This window comes from Homo sapiens, chromosome 17, assembly GCF_000001405.40.
Source record: "Homo sapiens chromosome 17, GRCh38.p14 Primary Assembly".
Classification (NCBI taxonomy): domain Eukaryota; kingdom Metazoa; phylum Chordata; class Mammalia; order Primates; family Hominidae; genus Homo; species Homo sapiens.
In genome coordinates, this window is record NC_000017.11 from 80,296,122 (window position 1) to 80,317,138 (window position 21,017).

The 21,017-nt window shown below is 48.5% G+C and overlaps 1 protein-coding gene across 12 annotated transcripts in view; it reads left to right on the forward strand.

The window, feature by feature from the left end:
- Positions 1-21,017, forward strand: part of RNF213 (ring finger protein 213) — a 137,943-nt gene that overhangs the window by 35,270 nt on the left and 81,656 nt on the right. For all 12 annotated transcript variants that reach the window (XR_007065355.1, NM_001256071.3, XM_047436482.1 and 9 more), the window contains 5 exons: positions 2,200-2,397; positions 10,131-10,347; positions 11,007-11,080; positions 12,897-13,050; positions 16,891-17,046. Coding sequence is in view for 11 of the 12 variants with exons in the window: in NM_001256071.3 (NP_001243000.2) it covers positions 2,200-2,397; positions 10,131-10,347; positions 11,007-11,080; positions 12,897-13,050; positions 16,891-17,046 (799 nt within the window). In the remaining variant the exon portion in view is untranslated. The remainder of the gene's footprint in view (positions 1-2,199; positions 2,398-10,130; positions 10,348-11,006; positions 11,081-12,896; positions 13,051-16,890; positions 17,047-21,017) is intronic.

Sequence of the window (21,017 nt, forward strand, 5' to 3'; positions counted from 1 at the left end):
CAATTCTCCTGCTTCAGCCTCCTTAGTAGCAGGGACTACAGGTGCACACTACCACACATGGCTAATTTTTGTATTTTTAGTAGAGAAGGGTTTTCACCATTTTGGCCAGGCTGGTTTCGAACTCCTGACCTCAAGTGATCCACCCACCTCGGCCTCCCAAAGTGCTAGGATTGTAGGCGTGAGCCACCGTGCTGGGTCTGAATACCCTGCTTTTTGAAGCTTCGTGTGGTATCATGAGCAGCCTCTGTGTGCGCGTGTTTAGGAGGTTGTGGCGTGACGCCAGCCTGAACTCATCCCCTCAAGGACATCTGCAGAAGCAGCGTGAATGTTCTCCCCATGCCCCTGCCTGTGCCGTGTCTAGTTCAGGAAACACAGTGTGACTGTCCTGGGCCTGAAATGTTCAGTGGTGAGAAGGCGATGGCCTTTGACTTGGTACCTGCTCAGACCCCACTGAGCTCTGCACTCTCTCTGCGTGTGTTGATTTGAACGTGAGAATGACATTAGGTAGCCTTTCCTGACCAGCATGTCTTATCACGACATCTGCCTCTCAGTTTTACACATTTATTTATTTGTTGTTTTGAGACAGTGTCTTACTCTGTTCCCCCAGTCTGGAGTGCAGTGGAGCAATCAGCTCACTGCAGCTTCAGCCTCACAGACTCAGGTGGTTCTCCCACCTCAGCCTCCTGAGTAGCTGGGACTGCAGATACACACCACCACTTCCAGCTAATTTTTGTATTTATTGTAGAGACGGGGTTTCACCATGTTGCCACGGTGGTCTTGAGCTCCTGACCTTGTGATCCGCCTGCCTCGACCTCCCAAAGTGCTGGGATTATAGACATGAGCCACTGTGCCTGGCCTGGTTTTACAAATAAAAAACAACCAAATAAACGCCGCACATTTTGACAAAGAGGAGGAGTGGAGGCAAAGGCAATGTACAGAGTTAGTGCCGGGGCTTAAAGTATGAGGAATCATTAATATCTTTTGACTGTAGGAGATTCACCATGTATTGTTTATAGGCTCAACCCTTACGTTTAAAAAGTTGTTTTGGGGCCGGGCACGGTGGCTCACGCCTGTAATCCCAGCACTTTGGGAGGTCGAGGCAGGCGGATCACAAGGTCAGGAGTTCGAGACCAGCCTGACCAACATGGTGAAACACTGTCTCTACTAAAAATACAAAATTTAGCCGGGCGTGGTGGTGCATGCCTGTAATCCCAGCTACTCAGGAGGCTGAGGCAGGAGAATCACGTGAACCCAGGAGGCGGAGGTTGCAGTGAGCCGAGATTGTGCCACTGCACTCCAGCCTGGGCGACACAGTGAGACTTCATCTCAAAAAAAAAAAAAAGTTGTTTTGGCCGGGCATTATGGCTCACACCTGTAATCCCAGTGCTTTGGGAGGCTGAGGCAGGAGGGATTGCTTGAGCCAGGAGTTCAGGATCAGTCTGGGAAACAAAAATTAAAATAAAAAATAGAGCCGGCCAACACAGTGAAACCCTGTCTCTACAAAAAATACAAAAAACTAGCCAGGCATGGTGGCGGGCACCTGTAGTCCCAGCTACTCGGGAGGCTGAGGCAGGAGAATGGCGTGAACCCGAGAGGCAGAGCTTGCAGTGAGCCAAGATCGTGCCACTGCGCTCCAGCCTGGGCAACAGAGTGAGACTCCGTCTCAAAAAAAAAAAAAAAAAAATGTAGCTAGCTGGGTGTGGTGGTGCACCTGTAATTCCAGCACTGGAGAGGCTGAGGCAGGAGGATCCCTTGAGCCCAAGAGTTCGAGGTTATAATGATCGCACCACCGCGCTGCCTTGATGACAGAGTGAGACTCTGTCTCTAAACAATGAAAATAAATTTTACAAGTTGCTTTATATTTAGATTTACTGTTGCCAGATGGCCTGGGTTCAAACCCCAGCTCTGTCAGTCAGGACCCTGCGTTGACTACTTAGCCAGGACCCCTGCTTCTGAGATCCCTCCCCTGTCCTGGGAGTTTGTTGTGGGGATTCGGTGAGGGCCTGCAAAGGAGCTGACGCCCTAGGCTGGGGGCTGAGGGAAGCCCTGTCTCCTGCGTGAGTTAAACTCTGCTCAGCCACGCGCGGTGCTCCTCTTGCTCTGTGTGCACGGTGCTTGCTTCCTGTTGGGACTCCAGACTCCCAGGGAGATGACTCCCTGGCCAGCTCAGCTCACTGCGGGATCTTTATTCCCTTCCAGCTGGCGGCTGTACCTGGTGAACCTGTGCCAAAGATGCATGGACACAAGGACGTACACCTGGCTGGGCGCCCTGCCTGTCCTGCACTGCTGTATGGAGCTGGCCCCGCGGCACAAGGATGCCTGGAGACAGCCTGAGGACACCTGGGCCGCTCTGGAGGGACTCTCCTTCTCACCGTTCCGGGAACAAATGCTAGATACGTAAGTCGTAGAGTTGTGCTTATCTACATGAATCTGGGAAGACTGACTCCTACATTGTGCACCCGGAGTCCCGGTGGGCTCTGCAGTGACTCCATTCCTGATTCTAATGACAGAACTAACACACGCTCTTTTAACATTTTAAGACATCAAAACTGTCAAGAATAGGCTGTGCACAGTGGCTCACGCCTGTAATCCCAGCACTTTGGGAGGCTGAGACGGGTGGATCACCTGAGGTCAGGAGTTCGAGACCAGCCTGGCCAACATGGTGAAAACCCGTCTGTACGAAAAATACCAAAAAAAAAAAAAAAAAATTAGCCAGGTGTGGTGGCATGTGCTTGTAATCCCAGCTACTCTGGAGGCTGAGGTAGGAGAATCACTAGAACCCGGGAGGTGGAGGTTGCAGTGAGCTGGGATCATGCTACTGCACTGTAGCTTGGGCGACAGAGCGAGACTCTGTCTAAAACAAACAAACAAAAAACTATCAAGAATACAGAAACAACTTGTAACCTCAGAGGCAGCCGTTGTTAGCACGGTGGCATACCTATTTGTGGTTTTGTCCAAATATGGATTCGTGGGTGTTTTATGTACTTAAAAGAACAACAACAAATGATGTGTTATTTATTCTGGTTTACAACCTGATTTTTCCTCTTAACAGTATTTTGTGAACCATTTTTTCCATCAGCAAATTCTTGTCTATGTCTTAGCGTTCCAGCCAGAGAGAGTGCCAGCCTTGTATTGAGCCAGTTCTCTGTTACAGGACATTTGGTTGGTTGTGCAGTTTCGTTTTTTCAGCGTGCTTTCATAAGCATCCTTAGCTTTCTCTGTCCCATAACTTCATTGAGATAGATTCCTACAAGTGGAACTGCTAGGTCAAAGGCATTGTGAACTCTAAACCATTTATACCTTTGCATAATGCTGGCTTAAAGGAGAGGAATATTGGCAATATATATAATCCTGATCTCTGATTCAAATATAATGACCTCTCCTTTATCACAAGAAAATATTACCAGAGAAAGTTTATTTATTTATTTATTTATTTATTTATTTATTTTTAACTTCTAAGTTCAGGAGTACATGTGCAGGTTTGTTATATAGATAAACTTGTGTTATGGAGTTTTTTTGTACAGATTATTTCATCATCCAAATATTAAGCCTAGTACCCATTAGCTATTTTTCCTGATCCTCTCCCTCTTCCCATCCTCCACCCTCTGATAAGCCCCAGTGTGTGTTGTTCCCCTCTATGTGTCCCTGTGTTCTCATCATTTAGCTCCCACTTACAAGTGAGAACCTGCGGTATTTGGTTCTCGTTCCTGAGTTAATTTGCTAAGGATAATGGCCTCCAGCTCCATCTATGTTCCTGCAAAGGACATGATTTCATTCTTTTTTATGGCTGCATAGTATTCCATGGTGTGTATGTACCACATTTTCTTTATCCAGTCTACTGTTGATGGGCATTGAGTTTGATTCCATGTCTTTGCTATTGTGAATTGTGCTTCAATGAACATACATGGGCATGTTTCTTTATAATAGAACGATTTATATTGTTTTTGGTATATACCCAGTAATGGGATTGCTGCGGTGAATGGTATTTGTGGAATTGCCACACTGTCTTCCGTAATGGTTGAACTAATTTACACTCCCACCAACAGTGCATAAGCATTCCTTTTTCTCCGCAACCTCACCAGCATCTGTTATTTTTTTACCTTTTAATAGCAGCCATTCTGACTGGTGTTAAGATGGTATCTCACTGTTTTTTTTTTTTAAGAGACAGAGTCTGGCTCTGTCACCCAGGCTGGAGTGCAGTGGTGTGATCTCAGCTCACTGCAGCCTCTGCCTCCTCGGCACAAGCGATTCTGCTGGGATTGGTAGTGTGCGCCACCACATGTGGCTAATTTTTGTCTTTTTAGTAGAGACAGGGTTGCACCATGTTGGCCAGGCTGTTCTTCAACTCCTGACCTCAAGTGATCCACCTGCCTCGGCCTCCCAAAGTTCTAGGATTGCAGGCATGAGCCACCACGCCTGGCCTCATTGTGGTTTTTGTTTTGTTTTGTTTGAGATGGAGTTTCGCTTTATCACCCAGGCTGGATTGCAGTGGCACAATCTCAGCTCACTGTAACCTCTGCCTCCCAGGTTCAAGTGATTGTCCTGCCTCAGTCTTCTGGGTAGCTGGGACCACAGGCACCCCACCATGCCTGGCTAATTTTTGTATTTTTAGTAGAGATGGGGTTTCACCATGTTGGCCAGGCTGGTCTCAAACCCCAGACCTCAAGTGATCCGCCCACCTTGGCCTCCCAAAGTGCTGGGATTGCATGTGTGAGCCACCATGCCCGGCCTCATTGTGATTTTGATTTGCATTTCTCTAATGATGAGTGATGTTGAGCTTTTTTTCATATGCCTGTTAGCCACATGTATGTCTTCTTGTGAAAAGTGTCTGTTCATGTCCTTTGCCCACTTTTTAATGAGGTTGCTTGTTTTTTTTTCTTGTAAATTTGTGTATGTTCCTTATAGATGCTGGATATTACACCTTTGTCAGATGCATATTTTGCAAAAATTTTCTCCCATTCTGTGGGTCATCTGTTTACTCTGTTGATAGTTTCTTTTGCTGTGCAAAAGCTCCTCAGTTTAATTAGTTCTTATTTGTCAATTTTTGCTTTTCTTGTGATTGCTTTTGGTATTTTTGTCGTGAAATCTTTGCCCATTCCTATGTCTAGAATGGTATTGCCTAGGTCTGGGCAAAGATTGGAGAAAAATTATGGAGAAGTCCTTAAAAGCACAGGCGACAAAAGTAAAGTGAGATAAATGGGATTACATCAAATCAAAAAGCTTCTGTGCAGCAAAGGAAACTATCAACAGAGTGAAGAGACAGTCCACGGAATGGGAGAAAATATTTGTCATCTACACGTTGGATAGGGGGATTTAAGGAACTCAAACAAGTGAACAGAAAAACTCAGATCTAAAAATGGACAAATGAGTTGAGTAGTCATCTAAAAAGAAGACACACAAATAACCAACAGGCATATGAAAAAATGATCAGCATCATTAATTAGGGAAATGCAAATCAAAACCACAATGAGATATGGTCTTACCCAAGTTAGAATAGCTGTGATCAAAAAGACAAAAAATAAATGCCAGTGAGGATGTGGGAAAGAGAAACTCTCATACAGTGTAGGAATGTAAATTAGTACTGCCACTATGGAGGACAGTATAAAGGTTCCTGAAGAAACTAAAAATAGAACTACTGTATGATCCAGCAATCGTACTGCTGGGGATATATCCAAAGTAAAGGAAATCAGTATGTTGAAGAGATAGCTGCACTCCTATATTTATCGTAACACTCAATAGCCATAATATGGAATCATCCTGAGTGTCCACCCGCAGATGAGTGGATGAAGAAAGTGTTGTCTATATACACAGTAGAATACTATTTGGCCACCAAAAAGAATGAAATTCTGTCTTTCGCAGCAACATGGACAAGCTTGGAGGAGATTACGTTAAGTGAAATAAGCCAGGCGCAGAAAGAGAAATACTGCATATTCCCACTCATACGTGGATGTGAAAAGAGTTGATCTTCTAGAAGGAGAGAGTAGAATAGTAGTTACGAGAGGCGAGGAAGGATGGGGAGAGGGCTAGCCAAAGGTTGGCTAGTGGATACAAAAGTATGGCTAGATAGGACGAGTAAGTTCTAGGGTCCTAGAGCAGTATGGAACGACTGTAATTTACAATTTATTACGTTTTTCAAATAGCTGGAAGAGTGGAGTTTGAATGTTTCCAACACAAAGAAATAAATGTTTGAGATAGATATGCTAATTACCCTGATTTGTACACATTATACACTGTATGCATATATATTGTATCCATATATTTGTACAGATTACAGACTGTATACTTTGTACATAGTATACATTGTAGACATATTTATATGTATATACAGTGCATAAAATGTATTCTCTGTATGCATTTGTATACATTATGTATTGTATACATATATAGAAATATAACACTGTTCCCCATAAATATGTACAATTATTATGTGTCAGTTTAAAAATAATAAAAGCAGCTGGGCTTGGTGGCTCATGCCTATAATCCCAGTACTTTGGGAGGCCCAGGCAGGAGGATTGTTTGAGGCCAGGAGTTCAAGACCAGTCTGGGCACATAGTAAAACCCAGTTTCTACAAAAAAACAAACAAAAAAAATAGTTAGGCATGGTGGGGTGTACCTGCAGTCCCAGCTACTTGGGAGGCTTACATGAGAGGATCGCTTGAGCCAGGGAGGTCAAGGCTGCAGTGGTAGAAGTCCAGATTCCCTAGAAGTTGAAATAAAAGCATCTTTATTTTCAGATTCTTGACAGGTAACCACAAACTTTCTCTTTAAGTATAATCTCTCTGAAATACTGAATACTGGGTTATTTAATAGAACAGTCATAATGACCACAGATTAACCCTTCTAAGCAAAATAGATTAATTTATTTTGGCCTTGAAATGGTCTTTCTCTTATTAATGTGCTAGAATGTATTCATTCATTCACTGGATGAATACTTGAAGAGCACCTTCCTTGTGCCAGGAAGTACTACTCAAGGCACAGCGTGTACAGCACTGCTCAAAACAGACAGCTGCTCCTGGCCTTGTGGAGCTTGCATTCTAGCTGGAGAGGCAGGCAGTTAATACATCAGTAAGTCCTATTGATGAGAGAGCTCTGGAAATTCCTCCTTCCCCTAGCCTGGAGGCTCAGGCCACAGAATCTGCTAAGGTCTGAAGGTAGGGTAGGAGAACAGAGGTAATGACTGCAGCACTCTGGGCCTTGCAGTGAGAACAAGACAGTGACCATCCAATTGGGAAAGGGGCTGGAGAACTGAAAGAGACGCCCCCTCATAAAGCATGATGCTCAGAGCCTGCCAAATGCCAAAGACTGGGGACAGCAGAAAAAATGAGGCAGTTGCTCTGTGCCCCTGGATCCCAACTTCTGCTAAAGGCAGTGTTACGGTCTTGCCTTTAGAAGGCGTAAAAGCCTTTGGAAACCAATTCTATTCCTTTTCTTTTTTCTTTTCTTTTCTTTTTTTTTTTTTTTTGAGACAGTCCTGCTCTGTCGCCCAGGCTGGAGTACAGTGGCGCGATCTCTGGTCACTGCAACCTTCGCCTCCCAGGTTCAAGTGATTCTTGTGCCTCAGCCTCCCAAGTAGCTGGGACTACAGGTGCATGTCATCACACATCACATGTGGCTAATTTTTGTATTTTTAGTGGAGATGGGTTTTGCCATGTTGGCCAGGCTGGTCTTGAACTCCTGGCCTCAAGTGATCTGCCCGCCTCAGCCTTCCAAAGTGCTGGGATTACAGGCGTGAGCCACCCACTGTGCCTGGCCAGCCGTTGGGAACCAATTCTAATTAAAGCTACAACAAAGCTGTAGTTCATCTAAACTATTAACTCAGCCCCTGATAACAGAAGAGGCCACTAGATGATCAAGAGAGAAAACAGTCAATATAGTCAGACCCATGGATGGTCCATATTTACCTAGAAAGGCTAGATATAGTAGAAATATAGAGTACCTTTTATTATTATTGCTATTTTTATGTACTTATCTTTAAATATCTTGAAAAGTCTGCAGTAGCATTGTTCCTAAAGATCCAATCGTTCAGGTAAAAGTGGCCTTTAGTATGCAGTGAACCTTTATTGATATGTTTTTCATAACTTCTGTTACTTCTAGGGAGCCTTGCTTTATTTCTTTTCCATTGTCAACATTTTGGGTCTCCAGTACTGTGTTCCAGAATCAGCATTATTTAAGGGCCTTCGCTGAGCCCACTTGGGCTGTTTGATCCTGGACACTCGTTAATAATAATTAAGAGGCTTGGCTGGGTGCAGTGGCTCACACCTGTAATCCCAGCACTTTGGGAGGCCAAGGCAGGTGGATCACAAGGTCAGGAGATCGAGACAAGCCTGGCTAACACAGTGAAACCCCATCTCTACTAAAAATACAAAAAATGAGCCGGGCGTGGTGGCAGGCGCCTGTAGTCACAGCTACTGGGGAGGCTGAGGCAGGAGAATGGCGTGAGCCTGGTAGGCAGAGCTTGCAGTGAGCCGAGATCACACCACTGCACTCCAGCCAAGGCAACAGAGTGAGACTCCAACACAAATAAATAAATAAATAAATAATAATAATAATAATTAAGAGGCTTAATTATTGGGGTATATCCCTTTTATTGTAAAATATACATAATCTCCAGTTTACCATGTTAACTCCTTTTCAAGGCACAGTTCCCTGGCACCAAGCACATTCACACTGCTGTGTAGCCGTCAGCACCATCCACCTCCCGAACTCAGCTTCCCCAGCTGAAACTCCATCCCCATGAAACACGACCTCCACACTCCCCCTCCTCCTGGTAACCACTGTTCTCCTCTCTGTCTCTAGGATTTTGACTTCTCTGGGGACCTCACGTGAGTGGAATCACACAGGATTTGTCCTTTTGTGTCTGATTTATTTCACTGAGCATAATGTCAAGATTCATCCATCTCAATGAATTCTTTTTGTGTATTTATTTATTTATTTGTAGAGATGGAATCTTGCTATGTTGCCCAGGTTGGTCTCAAACTGCTGGCCTCAAGCTATCCATCCTCCTGCTTTGGCCTCCCAAGTTGTGGGGATTACAGACATGAGCCACTGCACCCAGCAGTGAACTTTTTTTTTTTTTGAGACAGTTTTGGTCTCATTGCCTATGCTGGAGTACAATGGCACGATCTTGGCTCACCGCAACCTCTGCCTCCTGGGTTCAAGTGATTCTCCTGCCTCAGCCTCCCAAGTAGCTGGGATTACAGGTGTGCGCCACCACGCCTGGCTAATTTAGGATTTTTAGTAGAGACGGGATTTCTCCATGTTGGTCAGGCTGGTCTTGAACTCCCAACCTCAGGTGATCTGCCTGCCTCGGCCTCCCAAAGTGCTGGGATTACAGACGTGAGCCACTGCGCCCGGCCTGATTTTATTACTATTTTTTAATATTACTGCTCCTTGTAGAACAGGGCTACCCCATAGGAGCATGCCCAGAATGGCCAGCAGTGAATTCTTATTCCGTATTCTGAATTCTATATTAAGTTAATTCTCCTTTTTTCTTTCCTTTTTTTTTTTTGAGACAGAGTCTCACTCTGTTGCCCAGGCTGGAGTGCAGTGGCGTGATCTCGGCTCACTGCAATCTCTGCCGCCGGGGCTCAAGTGATTCTTCTGCCTCAGCCTCCTGAGTAGCTGGGATTACAGGATTACAGGCATGTGCCACCATGCCTGGCTGATTTTTGTATTTTTAGTAGAGACGCAGTTTCACCGTGTTGGCCAGGCTGGTTGCAAACTTCTAACCTCAACTGATCCACCTGCCTCAGCCTCCCAAAGTGCTGGGATTCAGGCGTGAGCCACCACGCCCGGCCATTAAGTTAATTCTCAGTAGGTTGTTCTGTACTTTTCATTTGATTCACTGCATATTTTTGTTTTCCACATAGCCTTTATTTTATTTTTTAAAGTAGAGACAGGGCCTCACTAGGTTCCCCAGGCTGGTTTCAAGCTCCTGGGCTCAAGTGATCCTCCCGAGTCAGCCTCCCAAGTATTGGGATTCAGGTGTGAGCCACCACGCCTGCCCTCAAGTAGTATTTAAATCATTTTTGAATTCGGGACTGTTTCTGTCCCTCCAGCATTGGTTTCCTCCATTTTCCCTCACTGATCTCACTGCGTCTCTTTTCTCCGTCCCTATTTCTCTTATGCAGGAGTTCCCTACTTCAGTTTATGAGAGAGAAGCAGCATTTGCTGAGCATAGACGAGCCTCTCTTCCGGTCCTGGTTTAGTCTGCTACCTCTGAGTCACCTGGTTATGTATATGGAAAACTTCATTGAGCACCTGGGTCGTTTTCCTGCTCATATCCTGGACTGTCTTTCAGGGATTTACTACCGGCTTCCGGGACTTGAGCAAGTCTTGAATACGCAGGTTTGTGTCTGAAGTCGGCTCTGGAGTCCTGGCTTAGCAAAAGCAGACTAGATAACTAAACATGGAAAGCTCAGGATTCTTATTCCTAAAAAACAGACAGTGGGCTGGGTGCGGTGGCTCACGCCTGAATCCCAGCACTTTGGGAGGCCGAGGCGGGCAGATCACGAGGTCAGGAGATCGAGACCATCCTGGCTAACACAGTGAAACCCCGTCTCTACTAAAAATACAAAAAAATTAGCTGGGCGTGGTGGTGGGTACCTGTAGTCCCAGCTACTCAGGAGGCTGAGGCAGGAGAATGGTGTGAACCCGGGAGGCGGAGCTTGCAGTGAGCCGAGATCACGCCGCTGCACTCCAGCCTGGGTGACAGAGCGAGACTCCATCTCAAAAAAAAAAAAAAAAAGAAGGCGTCTCATGTGATGCACTTCGTAGCTGCCATTCTTCCTTTCACATTTTTTGGTGGAGAAAATGGTATAAGTTTAAATCCTGAGTTTTATCTGTAAAAGAGGTAAGATTAGTATGTGAGCACCTTAAAATTTGTTTGTAGGAAGAAAACAATGTATACCATATTGATGTTGGATTTTTTTCAGCTCTGTTTTAGCAATGACAGTGGCATTGTGATTCAATCTTTTGTCCTGTTTTTCTTTTTTTCTCTGCCTTAGGATGTTCAGGATGTTCAGAACGTTCAGAACATTTTAGAAATGCTGTTGCGACTCCTGGACACTTACCGGGACAAGTAAGTGGAAAGCACGATGCAGTCTCTCCCTCACATGCGGCCCCCGGGGGCTTCCTCTGACCCCTATAATTGGCCGTGACCCACATGTGCTGTTGTAACAGCAAGGTCATAAATTAATATGTGGCCCACTTCTCTTCTCAGGTTATTAATATTGTCGTCTGTTTTTTTTTTTTTTTTTTTGAGTCAGAGTCTTACTCTGTTGCCCAGGCTGGAGTGCAGTGACGCAATCTTAGCTCACTACAACTTCTATCTCCTGGTTCAAGTGATTCTCCTGTCTCAGCCTCCCGAGTAGCTGGGATTACAGGCGCACCCCACCACGCCCAGCTAATTTTTGTGTGTTGGTTTGTTTGTTTGTTTGTTTTTTTGAGATGGAGTCTCACTCTTGTTGCCCAAGCTGGAGTGCAATGGCACCATCTTGGCTCACTGCAACCTCTGCTTCCCAGGTTCAAGTGATTCTCCTTCCTCAGCCTCCTGAGTAGCTGGGATTACAGGCGCATGCCACCACGCCTGGCTAATTTTTGTATTTTTAGTAGAGATGGGGTTTCACCATGTTGGCCAGGCTGGTCTTGAACTTCTGACCTCAGGTGATCCGCCTGTCTGGGCCTCCCAAAGTGCTGGGATTACAGGCGTGAGCCACCATGCCTGGCCGTCTGTTTTTTTTTTTTTTTTTTTTTTAAAGGGAAATAATAGATATCAGCTGCTAAGATTTGGGTTTATCTCCCCCTGATCTTTTTTCCTATACATTTTTCCCTTACTTGTAAATAGTCATGATACTGCATATGCCTGGTGGGCGTTCTGCATTTTTTTAATACTTAGTCAGTTTAAGATAAAAATCAAAGGTAGCTTTATATAATTATCCAAAATCATTTGCTCCTGCAAATTTGTGACCTCTGATACCCTGAGGGGTCAGCAGACAGAATGCAGAACCACTGAAATGTGCCAGTGAGCGATGGGATGGGTGTTGTCTGAGCTGTTCTCTGAGCGGCTCGGGCACTTCCAGTCTTCGTTCACCTCCTTTGTTCACGTCTCTGCCGATGTTGATCCAGCACCTGTGACTTGAGGATCCCCCCCACAAGCTCCCTATCTCCCCACCACTGTGTGTCACATTCTCAGCCCAGGGAGTCCTTTCTTACACCGCCTTCCCAGTCCCCTCCATCAACTCTCCTCTTAAGCTCCTCCTAAGTGTCCTCTTAAGTCTCTCCTGAGTCCCCTCCTGAGTCCCTCCCAAGGCTCCTCCTGAGTCCCTCCTAAGCCTCCTTCTGAGTCCCTCCTAAGCCTCCTCCTAAGTCCCCTCCTGAGTCCCTCCTAAGGCTCCTCCCGAGTCCCTACCGAGTCCCTCCTAAGGCTCCTCCTAAGTCCCTGCTCTGTCCATGTGTCCCTCAGAAAACACAAAACCCAGGCCCGGCAGAGCTGGAGCCAATTCCACACGGGCTGCACGCTCTTCTACTATTTCTTTCTCTTCCTCCCTCCTTTCTGTTTCTTTCTGAATATTTTTTCAAATTTATGTCATATTTTAATGTCTAGTAATAAACATCCCTTGCCTTTTTTCACATCTTGGAACGCACTGAGGAGTGTTTGGACTTGCTTTGGTTAGAACAGTTGAGACTACAGAGACAAAACAAGAGGACTTTGCTTCCTTTTTATCTTAGTCACAAGTTCAGGACTGACTGAGATTTTCCAGACGTTAACCTAGATAAGGTCAAACAAATGCCCTGTTGGTAGTTATTTTGAAGGAAGGAGCTAGTCATCAATGGTAACCATTTTCTGGCTTCTCCTAAATCCTTGCCGGGATTTCTCTTAACTCTTTGCGGGGCAGGATTCCCGAGGAGGCCTTGTCACCATCCTACCTGACTGTGTGTCTGAAACTGCATGAAGCCATCTGCAGCAGCACAAAGCTACTTAAGTTTTACGAGCTGCCAGCCTTATCTGCCGAGATTGTCTGCAGAATGATTAGACTTCTATCTCTGGTGGTAAGTGGAGTCAACACACAAGGTATCACACCCGGGATAGGTGCGGAATTTCAAGCAGCCTCAATTTGGAAAGGAAACAGACTGATTCCCGGGTGCTGGGATGAGATGGAGCGGTGGTTTCAGCAGTGGACATTTCTTGTGCACCTGCTTGATGCTGGGTTCTGTTCTGGGTGTGGGGGGTGTCAGTGGGCCAGGGTCTGCCCTTCTGCCACCTTGGGCTTTCCTGGGAGGGAGGCAGGGAGTTAATGTGTGGCCATCAGCTGGTCATGGGGAAACCAGAGAGCTGGCGCAGGGGCTGGGGGTCAGGCAACGCCACGCGGAGAAGACGACTTTTCTTTTTTCTTGATTCTGTTGTTTGCAGAGAACTACGGGGACCATTTTCCTCCCAAAAAATACATGTCCAAACATGGTCTTTCCCACCTTCTTGACATTGTAGCTTGAATACAGTAACAAAGGCCATAGCGCCACACATCTGCCCCCCGCTGCATGTCGTGTCCCAGGTCTGATGGCAGGATGACCCGGCTCCTCCGTCCCAAAGAAAGCCACTGTTGTGACTTCTCCCATGGATCAGTTTTTTTTTTGTTTTTTGTTTTTTGTTTTTTAAGACGGGGTCTCACTCTGTCACCCAGGCTGGAGTGCAGTGGCGTGATCTCGGCTTACTGCAAGCTCCGCCTCCTGGGTTCACGCCATTCTCCTGTCTCAACCTCCCAAGTAGCTGGGACTACAGACGCCTGCCACCACGCCTGGCTAATTTTTGTATTTTTAGTAGAGATGGGGTTTCACCGTGTTAGCCAGGATGGTCTCGATCTCATGACCTCATGATCCGCCTGCCTTGGCCTCCAAAGTGCTGGGATTACAGGCTTAAACCACCACGCCCAGCCTCCCATGGATCAGTTTTACCTGTCTTCCAGCTTTGACCTTTCTGCCTCCGACTTTCCCCACTCACCCCCATGTCTCTGAGCTCTGTCTGTGTGGTGCAGAGATCGGCAATTCCTTCTTTCCCGTCTCTGTGCAGTTTTCACCCACTTGAGTTCATGAGTTTCAGTTTGAAAGTGATGTAAGGTTTAATGTTTAGACTGATCATTTGTTTGTTTTTTTGAGATGGAGTTTTGCTCTTGTTGCCCAGGCTGGAGTGTAGTGGCGCCATCTCAGCTCACTGCAATCTCCGCCTCCTAGGTTCAAGTGATTCTCCTGCCTCAGCCTCCCAAGTGGCTGGGACTACAGGTGTGCACCACCACACCCAGCTAATTTTTGTATTTTTAGTAGAGACAGGGTTTCACCATGTTGGCCAAGCTGGTCTCAAACGCCTGACCTCACGTGATCCACCTGCCTTGGCCTCCCAGAGTGCTGGGATTGCCGATGTGAGCCACTGCACCCAGCACAATTTTTTTTTTTTTTGAGACAGAGTTTCACTCTTGTTGCCCAGGCTGTAGTGCAATGGCGTGATCTCGGCTCACCACAACCTCCGCCTCCTGGGTTCAAGTGATTCTCCTGCCTCAGCCTCCCGAGTAGCTGGGATTACAGGCATGTGCCACTAAACCCAGCTAATTCTGTATTTTTAGTCGAGACAGGATTTCTACATGTTGGTCAGGCTGGCCTTGAACTCCTGACCTCAGGTGATTCGCCTGCCTCAGCCTCCCAAAGTGCTAGGATTACAGGCATGAGCTACTGCACCCGGCTGATCATTTTTTTTAATCTTACTTCAAGTTAGAACTGTGACGTTAGTGATAGAAAACAATTAAGTGTATGTTTTAACTTTCTTCCTTTCAGTTTTCTTGTGTTAAAGTACCACAGACACAGTTTAAGAATAAATGTCATTGGTGAGATGATCACGTTCTCTGGAGTGGCTGCTATTTAAACCGCCACAGGCAGCTGCCAACTTCCACATAAACTGTGTTTAAGGAATTTGTCAGTTACTTAGGATTTATTTTCTACAGAAATAACTATCTTAAATGTTGGCTGGGATCTCAGATAAGTTTAATCCATATTATGGACAAAATACTCTCTACCTGTGCCATAAAAGCAAACAAACAAACAAAAAACCTTTGCAATACTAAAATTAAACAAAGCAAAAATACGTGACGCATGTTGAAGAAACTTTTAGGTGTCTGCTGCTGTGAAGGCTCCAGGGTTGACGGACACTTGGAGAACAAGGTGCCCGTGTCAGGCTCCGGAGGTCTGTGCAGCCTCTGAGCGGTCATTCAGTTTGTTGTTATTGGCCATCGCTGTCCAGCCCTGTGCTGCTGGATTGTTCTAGAAGGAGCTGTGCCATTGGGGGGACCTTCAGCAGTGCCTGTTTCGTTTTCTGTCGGCCCCCGCCCCCTGCGTGCTGTGCTCTAGTCACTCCTGTGCCCAGCCCCCTCTGCGGGCTCTCTTTCACAGCAGCACCTGCATCCTGGTCCCTCTTACATGCTTTGAAAGCTCCTGCCTGTATCTTCCCGCCCTGGCCCTTCCCAGGTATAGTGACGCTGTGTTCCCCTGCCTGCTGTGGGCTTTTCCTCTCTCCCACTCTCGGGCAGCCCCGCCCAGCAGCAGCCTTGTCCTCTTGCCCAGCTGCCTCGAGGCGTGGGCCTCTCGGTGCTTCCAGTGAGCACCTGAGCGTATCCAGGTTCTGTGGCTCCTGACACTTGCACGATGTGCGGGGCTGTGCTTAAAAAAAAAGATCACACACTTGGCTGGGTGTAGTAGCTCACACCTGTAATCCCAGCACTTTGGAAGGCCAAAGCAGGCAGATAACCAGAGGTTAGGAGTTCGAGACCAGCCTGGCCAACATGGTGAAACCCTGTCTCTACTAAAAAATACAAAAATTAGCCAGGTATGGTGGCATGCACTTGTAATCCCAGCTACTTGGGAGGCTGAAGCAGGAGGATCACTTGAACCCAGGAGGTGGAGGTTGCAGTGAGCCAAGATCGCGCCACTGTACTCCAGCCTGGGTTACAGAGTGAGACTCTGTCTCAAAAAAAAGAAAAAAAAGAAAAAGAAAAGAAAAAGACCACACATTAATCCAGGACTGTGGGGCTCCTCCCAGGAGGAGGTGGCCCTGACCCCTGACCTGTATGCTTCCTGGGAAATGTGCTTCTGGGGAGGACAGAGGGAGGAGGAAGGAGAGGGAGGAAGAGGAAGGCAGGGGAGAGAAGGGAGGCATTACAGGAGGCTTTGAGCCCAGGGGAAGAGGGGTTTTCCCTCTGGTCTGGTGGGTCCGGCACGGAGGCGGGGGGAGAGCATGATGGGAGCACAGTGGGAAGGGGACCCAGGTTTACCTCCGGGTCAGGAGCCTGGCTGTGGTCTGGCATGGAGGCAGGGGGAGGGCATGATGGGAGCACAGTGGGAAGGGGACCCAGGTTTACCTCCGGGTCAGGAGCCTGGCTGTGGTCTGGCATGGAGGCAGGGGGAGGGCATGATGGGAGCACAGTGGGAAGGGGACCCAGGTTTACCTCCGGGTCAGGAGCCTGGCTGTCTCCTGTGTCTAAGGAACAGGCCCGGGAGTCTGCAGGGCCCCTCTCTGGGGCGTGCTTTTCCCCCTCAGTCTCCTGGGCACAGCCTGGGGACCTGCTCATTGGCAGGACAGAGGCTGCCTGGGCTTTCGGGGGAGCACACAGATGCCGTTCCCTCCCTCCCTCTTTTCTCCCGTATCTCCCACGTTCAGGGTGAACCCAGAAAACCCTGGGGAATGGAAGTGCTTTGGGAATGTGGGCTTCTGCCAAGGCCTGTGGTCCCTCCATCGTAGCCACTCCTTGAGCAGCCTGTGCCAGCAGGGAGGAGAGGAGGGGGTGCAGCATCTCGCCGGGAACCTGAGTCCACAGCCGAGGATGACTGACCCTCCCTCTTGTGTGACAACAGGATTCTGCAGGACAGAGAGATGAAACTGGAAATAATTCAGTCCAAACAGTCTTCCAAGGGACCCTTGCTGCTACGAAAAGGTGGCTCCGAGAAGTTTTTACAAAGAACATGCTCACATCTTCAGGTGCCTCATTCACATACGTCAAGGAAATTGAGGTAGGCATTTGGCCGAAGGCTTCTGGGTAGGGATGTGACTGATCGTGATTCCTCATGGCCTCAAATCATGGGGTACAGGCTGCTGGCCAGGGGCAGTTGTTGGCCTTCACCTGAGCCTCAGTTCTTCATCTACAAAATGGAGTTGCTCCTGTCTACCTGGCAGGGTGGCTCTGAGGCAGACAGATGCCGGGTGCAAAGTGCTGCTGCACTGCCTCGTGTCCCCTGGCCGGGCACAGTCCCTGTGGTGATGGAGGTGTGGAGGTGATGGTGATGGTTGGTGGTGGTGGTGGTAGAGGTGATGGTGGTGGAGGTGATGGTGATGGTTGGTGGTGGTGGTGGTAGAGGTGATGGTGGTGAAGGTGATGGTGATGGTGGACGTAATGGAGGTGATGGTGGTGATGGTGGTCATGGAGGTGGTGGAGGTGATGGTGGTGGTGGAGGTGATGGTGATTGTGGTGGAGGTGATGGTGGTGATGGTGATGGTTGTGGAGGTGATGGTGGAGGTAATGGAGGTGATGGTGGTGGTGAAGGGGATGGTGGTGATGGAGGTGGTGGTGGTGGAGGTGACAATGGTGATGCTGGTGGTGGAGGTGGTGGAGGTACTGGAGGTGATGGTGGTGGTGAAGGTGATGGTGGAGGTAATGGAGGTGATGGTGGTGGTGGAGGTGATGGTGGAGGTACTGGAGGTGATGGTGGTGGTGAAGGTGATGGTGGAGGTACTGGAGGTGATGGTGGTGGTGGTGGTGATGGTGGAGGTGGTGGAGGTAATGGAGGTGATGGTGGTGGTGGAGGTGATGGTGGAGGTACTGGAGGTGATGGTGGTGGTGAAGGTGATGGTGGAGGTAATGGAGGTGATGGTGGTGGTGGTGGTGATGGTGGAGGTGGTGGAGGTAATGGAGGTGATGGTGGTGGTGGAGGTGATGGTGGAGGTACTGGAGGTGATGGTGGTGGTGAAGGTGATGGTGGAGGTACTGGAGGTGATGGTGGTGGTGTAGGTGATGGTGGAGGTGATGGTGGTGGTGAAGGTGATGGTGGAGGTAATGGAGGTGATGGTGGTGGTGAAGGTGATGGTGGAGGTACTGGAGGTGATGGTGGTAAAGGTGATGGTGGAGGTACTGGAGGTGATGGTGGTGGACGTGATGGTGGAGGTAATGGAGGTGATGGTGGTGGTGGTGGTGGTGGAGGTACTGGAGGTGATGGCGGTCGTGGAGGTGATGGTGGAGGTAATGGAGGTGGTGGTGGTGGTGGTGGTGGAGGTACTGGAGGTGATGGTGGAGGTAATGGAGGTGATGGTGGTGATGGTGATGGTGGAGGTACTGGAGGTGATGGTGGTGGTGGTGGAGGTAATGGAGGTGATGGTGGTGGTGAAGGTGATGGTGGAGGTAATGGAGGTGATGGTGGTGGTGGTGGTGGTGGTGGAGGTAATGGAGGTGATGGTGGTGGTGGTGGTGGTGGTGGAGGTACTGGAGGTGATGGCGGTCGTGGAGGTGATGGTGGAGGTAATGGAGGTGGTGGTGGTGGTGGTGGTGGAGGTACTGGAGGTGATGGTGGAGGTAATGGAGGTGATGGTGGTGATGGTGATGGTGGAGGTACTGGAGGTGATGGTGGTGGTGGTGGAGGTAATGGAGGTGATGGTGGTGGTGAAGGTGATGGTGGAGGTAATGGAGGTGATGGTGGTGGTGGTGGTGGTGGTGGAGGTAATGGAGGTGATGGTGGTGGTGGAGGTGATGGTGGAGGTACTGGAGGTGATGGTGGTGGTGAAGGTGTTGGTGGAGGTACTGGAGGTGATGGTGGTCGTGTAGGTGATGGTGGAGGTGATGGTGGTGGTGAAGGTGATGGTGGAGGTACTGGAGGTGATGGTGGTGGTGAAGGTGATGGTGGAGGTAATGGAGGTGATGGTGGTGGTGAAGGTGATGGTGGAGGTAATGGAGGTGATGGTGGTAAAGGTGATGGTGGAGGTACTGGAGGTGATGGTGGTAAAGGTGATGGTGGAGGTAATGGAGGTGATGGTGGTGGACGTGATGGTGGAGGTAATGGAGGTGATGGTGGTGGTGGTGGTGGAGGTACTGGAGGTGATGGTGGTGGACGTGATGGTGGAGGTAATGGAGGTGATGGTGGTGGTGGTGGTGGAGGTAATGGAGGTGATGGTGGTGGTGGTGATGGTGGAGGTACTAGAGGTGATGGCGGTCGTGGAGGTGATGGTGGAGGTAATGGAGGTGATGGTGGTGGTGGTGGTGGTACTGGAGGTGATGGTGGAGGTAATGGAGGTGATGGTGGTGGTGGTGGTGGTACTGGAGGTGATGGTGGAGGTAATGGAGGTGGTGGTGGTGGTGGTGGTGGAGGTACTGGAGGTGATGGTGGAGGTACTGGAGGTGATGGTGGTCGTGGAGGTGATGGTGGAGGTAATGGAGGTGATGGTGGTGGTGGTGGTGGTACTGGAGGTGATGGTGGTCCGTGGAGGTGATGGTGGTGGTGGTAATGGAGGTGATGGTGGTGGTACTGGAGGTGATGGTGGTGGTGAAGGTGATGGTAGAGGTAATGGAAGTGATGGTGGAGGTACTGGAGGTGATGGTGGTGGTGGTGGAGGTGACAGTGGTGATGCTGGTGGTGGTGGTGGTGGTGGTGGTGGTGGTGGAGGTGGTGGTGGTGGTGGTGGTGGTGATGGTGATGGTGGTGGTGGTGGTGGTGGAGGTGATGGTGGAGGTAATGGAGGTGATGGTGGTGGTGAAGGTGATGGTGGTGATGGAGGTGGTGGTGGTGGAGGTGACAGTGGTGATGCTGGTGGTGGAGGTGGTGGAGGTACTGGAGGTCATGGTGGTGGTGGAGGTGATAGTGGTGAAGGTGATGGAGGTGGTGGAGGTTATGGAGATAATGGTGGTGGTGGAGGTGATAGATATTTGAACATGCCTGACCTAAGAAAAGTTCATTTTCATTTTTGGCTGGGCACTATGGCTGATGCCTGTAACCCCAACTCTTTAGGAAGCCTAGGTGGAAGGGTGGCTTGAACCCAGGAGGTCAGGGCTGCAGTGAGCTATGACTGTGCCACTGCACTCCAACCCAGGTGACGGAGCGAGACCCTGTCTCTTAAAATATTTTTTTTACAGTGCATTTTCATGTGTTTCAACCTCCTAGTGTCCCTGCCAAAAATATTTTAATCTGAATCAAATCATGGGGAAATTATGAGACAAATCAGGTCAAAAGACAGTTTACAAAACAGTTGGCCTGAACTTTTCAAAACTGTCAACATGTTAAAAGAAAAAAGAAAAAAATGACCAGGGAACTCTTCTAGAAAAGAGATGTGATAAGTAAATGCAGAAAAGAGACGTGATAAGTAAGTACAGCGTGTGTCCCAGGAGGATCTAGGATCCAGTCAGGACAGGAGCTGGAGCACGAGAGGAACGGGGGTGGAGACCACTTCCTGGGGGCAGAGTGTCCTCCTCTCCACGTTGCACGTCCTGAGTGGGAAACCTGCACTGGAGTTGCACAGGGAAGGGCTAGGGTCTTAGGAGACCCTGCCCAGGTATGTAGTGGCAAGGTGCCATGATGCCTGCAACTTACTTTCCAACGGTTTGGGAGAGAAAATGCTCATTTGTGCAGAGTCCGAAGAGGGAGCACAGAGGAGAGAGGAAGAGTGAAAGCAGCTGTGTGAAGCGTGAATCGCACAGGACTGGAGTTGAATGAATGTGGGTGGTGGTGTGCTATTCTTGCGACCTTTTTGAAAGTTCAAAAATTTTCAAAGTATAACATGAGAGATAAGTCCTTTCAGAATAAAAAGCCGGTTGTGCAGTAGGAGGACCAGTAGTGGCCCCTGGTTGGGTCTCTGATTCTAGAAAGCCAACCTGGGCTGCTGTGACCGGCCACTAGCATGGCTGACTGTTGATGAAGGTTGGGGAGAGCCCTGGTGTTCGCGGAGTCCCGCGCTCTCTGTATTGCCGTAATGCTCTGTCTTTCTCCTTTCATGGGAGTGTGCC